At 44.2% G+C, this 5,821-nt stretch overlaps 1 annotated feature.

The window, feature by feature from the left end:
- Nucleotides 3,696-3,765: an enhancer, noted in NCBI's record as "active region_27203". NCBI's record gives its function as "activates an Ori minimal core promoter by ATAC-STARR-seq in GM12878 lymphoblastoid cells {active_cell/tissue: GM12878}" and the evidence as "EXISTENCE:reporter gene assay evidence [ECO:0000049][PMID:35858748]".

Genomic DNA, 5,821 nt, shown 5'->3' on the forward strand with positions numbered 1-5,821 from the left:
GCTAGTAATTTGATGTGTATTCTTTCAAACATTTTTACTGTGCATAGAATGTAGCAGCACAGGCTCTGAAATCAGACTGCCCGGGTTGGAATCTGTCTCTGTCACTTAATAGCCTTGTCACCTTAGACAAGTGTCATACCCTTCCTCAGCATCAGTTTTATCATCCTTAGAATGGCAACAATAATAGTATCTCCACATGGTCTCACTCATAAGAGGGAGCTGAACAATGAGAACAAATGGACACAGGGAGGGGAACATCACACACTGGGGCCTATTGGGGGGTCGGGGGCAAGGGGAGAGAGAGCATTAGGACAAATACCTAATGCATGCGGGGCTTAAAACCTAGATGATGGGTTGATAGGTGCAGCAAACCACTATGGTACATGTATACCTGTGTAACAAACCTGCACGTTCTGCACATGTATCCCAGAACTTAAAGTAAAGTAAAAAAAAAGTATCTCCCTCATAGATTGTCATAAGGATTAAATAGATTTATACACATACACACACAGAATGTTTGTATGCCTAATACCTAACAAGCACTCAATGAATGTTTGCAAAAATAGAACTTAATTGAAGGTGATTTTGAAAGAAAAAAAATTTTAAAGACTTTGTTTCCAAAGAGAGATAGAGAGGAGGTTAGTTTGTTGGGTCAGGCTGAGTTGGACTCTTGGCAATTCTGAGTTTCTTTCTCCACAGATATTTACCTTTCAAGGGGTTGAATTTCTTATTCTTCCCCAGTAAAAGTAACTGATGATGGTTAAGAACATAGTCTATGGGGTCAGACATGCATGCACTAGAAACCCAGCCTCCCTGCTTACTAGTGTTGTGATATGTGATGTTGTATTACGTAACTTTTCTGAGCCTCAATATCTTTACCTGTATAATCACAGCAGTTTTGTTTCAAGGATTATATGAAATAATGCATGATTGACTTTTCTTGGCTCAGTCAGCACTAAAAAAATGGTGGCGATGGTAGCCACCATTGCATAAAGCAAAGGGCTTTGATGTGGTTTGTATGTTGTCTCCTCCAAATCTCATGTTGAAATGTGATCCCCCCTATTGGAGGTAGGGCCTGGTGGGAGGTGTTTGGCTCATGGGGATGGAGCCTTCGTGAATGGCTTGGTCCCCTCCTCTCTTTAATGAGTGAGTTCTCGCTCTGTTCGTTCCCTTGAGAACTCGCTGTTGTAAAAGGCCTGGCACCACTTCCTTTTCCTCTCTTTCTCCCTCTCTCATTATGTGATCCCTGCTCCCACTTCACCTTCTGCCATGAATGGAAGCAGCCTGAGGTCATCACTAGAGGCAGATACTAGTACCATGCTTCTTGTACAGCCTGCAGAACAATGAGCCCAATAAATGTCTTTTCTTTACAAATTATCCAGCCTCAGTCAATCCTTTCTAGCAATGCAAAAAAATGGACTCAGACAGGGCTTAATGCTTCCCCAGTAGAGGCTGGGAGCACAGGCTTGGCACCCTTCTCTGAGGAGAATGATTTGACTTGGTTGTACTGGAGATAGCTGATTCACCCACCTTTTTTTTTTCTACGACCTTTGGCAATCCATCTTTCTTTGTTGGGATAGAGCTTTCTAGTCAACAAAGCACTTTCAAACGCATTCACTCCATTGCTACTCTTCTGAAGAAGGAGGATAGGGAAGGCATCATTAGCAATGGATTAGCTTTGGTTTCCAGGTGAGAAAACTGAGGCTCAGAGAGCATAAATTCCTTGGCCAAGGTCACCTAACACGTGGCAGAGCCAGAACTGGCACCTCTATGCTGTGACAAGGCTGTCCTCCCACTTTCCCGATGAGACCAATCAAAGGCCAGTTGGTAGTGTATGGAGTTTCCCCAGGCTGTATGGATAAGTTATGGGCTCTGCGGTGGGGTCTGGCTTAGAGGAGACCCTTAACAAACAGGTTGCCATTATTATCAGAGCATCTTTAGGGACTACCACCTCTATGTCCACCACCATGACTCTATTTTAATCCATTATTTTCCTGCGTGGCTGATGAAGCTAACAATACTGATGTAAAATGGTTATGAACACCAGGACCAAAAAAATATATCTTTTCCTTATCAAGATGATTTATACTGGGAGAAGTATGGCTCTCCCCCTTCTATTCCATTCTCATATTTTGAATCAGGAGCGATTTTGCTTGAGAAACACAGTCAGGACAATTTCCATCTATAACTGCATTGTAAGGAAGAGGATAATGGGAATTTTAATGAAAACGCCAACGCAGTGCGAATAGGAATCAGCTCTTTTGCAATAGGAAGCAGCTACTTTGCTCAACAGGCAACAAAAACCTTTAGCTTGTGTTCATGAAAATGATGATCGTCTCTGGCTCCACTGAGATTTAACCAAGAGGGGAAAAAAAAGAATTTTAAAAGTTCAGATGCGGTTCACCCAGAAGTTTGTCTCCAGACTTCAAGAACATTTCAGTTTTTCAAAAGGGCACACAAAGAAAGAGGCTGGACTCCTGTACAAAAGCACACAGATTCTCTAGACCATAAGAAGCGCCTGAGCCAGTGTGCTGTTAGTTGTCTGTGCTTTGTGTCTCATGACTATGAAACAGCAGGATTGACAATGACATGCTGGACTAACCATGATCAGCCCCAGGGCCTGTGCCACAAAAAGGACTGCACAGCAATGACAGCTCATTCTTCTACCACGGTCTAGCATGCGTGCTGTGTGTGTGGTGGGTGTTATTTAGGGGAGGAGGAGGTAACAGTGAGACACGTGTTTTGTGTGTTAAGGGGACAGAGACACTAAGCTTGACCCACTATGATGTCTGAGTCAGTCTGGTGAACCAATCATGAAATGCTCAAAAGAGAGTTGCACAGTTACAAAGCCTTTGCCATTGAATGGTGGAGACTGTGGCATCAGTCCCCCACCCTATCTTCTGTAGAAAACAGAATGAGAGTGCAGTTGCACAGAGGTGGCTCCACTGTAGCTCCTCATGTTATGCATGGCAGACATTGCTAATATTCATTCCAGTTCCCGGTCAGGCATGGTGGCTCACACCTGTATTCCCAGCACTTTGGGGGGCCGAGGCATGTGGATCACCTGAGGTCAGGAGTTCGAGACCAGCCTGGCCAACATGATGAAACCTCGTCTATACTAAAAACACAAAAAATTAGTCAGGCGTGGTGGCAGAAGCCTGTAATCTCAGGTACTTGGGAGGCTGAGGCAGGAGAATCGCTTGAACCCGGGAGGTGGAGGCTTCAGTGAGCTGAGATTGCGCCACTGCACTCCAACCTGGGGCAACAAGAGTGAAACCTGAAACTTCCTCTCAAAAAAAAAAAAAAAATATTCATTCCAGTTCCCATTCTCTCACCCCGATTACTCACAGAACTACAACTCTGTTCCAAAAGGAGAAACAGCCCAGATTTAAAAAACAAACAAACAAAAAAATAAACACTGCATTCACAGCCTCTCTTGCTGACAAGGGTGATCATAGGCCCAACTGCAGTTCTGATCAAAGAGAAACAGTGAGAGGTCTGGCGGGGATTTCCGGGAAAGTTTTGCTCTCCTAATTTGGTGCCTCTCTGTGTTAGATTGCAAGAATGGCCACAAGTTCTTCCCCTTGTCACACTTTTGGAATTGACTTTGCAACTTCTCTCATCGAAAAGCAGTTTATTTTTTCACCCTTTGACTCTGGGCTTGGTCTTGTGAATTGCTTTGGCCAATGGTACAATAGCAAACAAGATGCAAACAAAAACAGATTGCATGATGGAGATTCCCTTCTCTTGCTGTTCTTGGAAACCTGAAACTGCCACGTGAAGACACCAGGGCTGGCCTACTGTAAGATAAGGGACATGTGGCCTGGGAACTCCTGTCTCTCTGGCCAACAGCATGTCAATAACCAGACACATGAATGATTCATACTAGATCTTCCAACCTACAGCCAACCCACCAGATGTCTGCAGATGTGTGAGTGAGACCCACAGAGACCAGCTGAACTAAGCAGAACTGAAGACCACTCATCTGACACAATGATTGTTGTTTTATGCCACCAGGTTTGGGGGATTGTTTGTTACCCAGCAAAAGCAAACAGATCTATACTTTTTTCCCACGCCACTTTCTTCTTCCTGCTTGGAATGCAGATGTGATACTGAAGGTGGGACAACCACCTTTGCAACCATGAGGACAAATGCTTTACAGAAAGATGGAAGAGGCCTGGCAAAGTGATGCTACCATGGACTCAATAGCTGCACAATCCCACAAGTGTCTGCCTCCAGACTTTATGGTTTGTGAGAAAAATAAAACCTTGTGCTGTTAAGCCACTTGTATCATCCAGTTTTTAATTACAGACATCTGAATCCACTTCAGGTAGTTTAAGTAAAAAGCAGTTTATGAAAATATGTCACTTAGCTTATGGAACCTCTAAAGATCCAGAGAACCAGTGTAGTCTTTGCAATAAAAGAGGGTGAGGTGAGGCCTGCTTCCCACGAGAGGATGCATGTGGATTGTTTGATTCTACGTAGCCAGGAGAAAGGGAAGCCAGACATAGCAGAGCCAAGAGCAAAGCCCCACCATAGTGCAGGACTGTTGTGCTAGAAATAGAAGTGTTGCCACCTACCATTGCAACCAAATTATTATTATTATATTATTAAGGGAATGAACAGCAAAATTTTCTTTTTTATCCTCAACTTTTATTTTAAGTTCCTGGGTACATGTGCAGGATGTGCAGGTTTGTTACACAGGTAAATGTGTGCCACGGTGGTTTGCTACACAGATCAACCCATCACCTAGGTATCAAGCCCAGCATCCATTAGCTATTCTTCCTGATGCTCTCCCTCCCACCCCTCAACAGGCCCCACTATGTGTTTTTCCCCTCCCTGTGTCCATGTGTTCTCTTCATTCAGCTCCCACTTGTAAGCAGGAACATGCAGTGTTTGGTTTTCTGTTCCTGTGTTAGTTTGCTGAGGATAATGGCTTCCAGCTTTATCCATGTCCCTGCTGAGGACACAATCTCATTCCTTTTTATGGCTGCATAGTATTCCATGGTGAAAACTACCATTTTCTCCACGGCTCCCCTGGAAGAACAGATGCCTCTGTCTCTGTACTCTCCACATTGCTACTCCCATGTTTCTTACTTCTGCCCCAAAATCTCATGCAAGACCACCTATTTGCTAGAGCCATGTATTTCAATCACTTCCTCTTCAGGTAATTGTTGAGGGAGGGTTTCCCTAGCCCTCTAGGGTTATAGGAATGGTCAAACATATGACACCCAGCACCGGATAGATGAAATAAACATCAGTTTATTAGTCATATACACTCACTGTCCAGGGGAGGAGGACAGTGCATACTGTACAGGGCCATATGGGGATTCTATTTGGGAGCACAATGAACAAACAGGGTCTGTGGGAGGCAGTCTTTCCAATAACAGAGGGTGAGGTGAGGCCTGCTTCCCACGAGAGGATGCATGTGGCTTGTCTGAATATTTCTGTGTGCTGGCAGGGGCCTGAAGCCCACCACTCAGGGATAAGCAGACACTGGGCCTGGTCTCCCTGACAAGGAGGGCTTGTTTGGTTAGGGGACCTTATCTGCCACAGCAGAGTGGGCAAGGGACTTGAGATTAGGCCATTTGAGGCCTCCCCATGCTATTTAATCTTAATTTCAGGACTTGTACTACACCATTTCTCAAGGAAGCTCCCTAGCTGGAAGAAGAATTAGGAAATCTAATTTTAGTTTTCTATCCTGTAGCTCAGAAAGGCAAGCTCAGAGGCTTGAGATAGGTGTTGAGTGAGCAATATTCCACCTTTTTTATTATTTAACATCCACATATATGCTTCTTTCCATAATTAAACTTTTAAATGA

Source organism: Homo sapiens, chromosome 8, assembly GCF_000001405.40.
Source record: "Homo sapiens chromosome 8, GRCh38.p14 Primary Assembly".
NCBI lineage: Eukaryota > Metazoa > Chordata > Mammalia > Primates > Hominidae > Homo > Homo sapiens.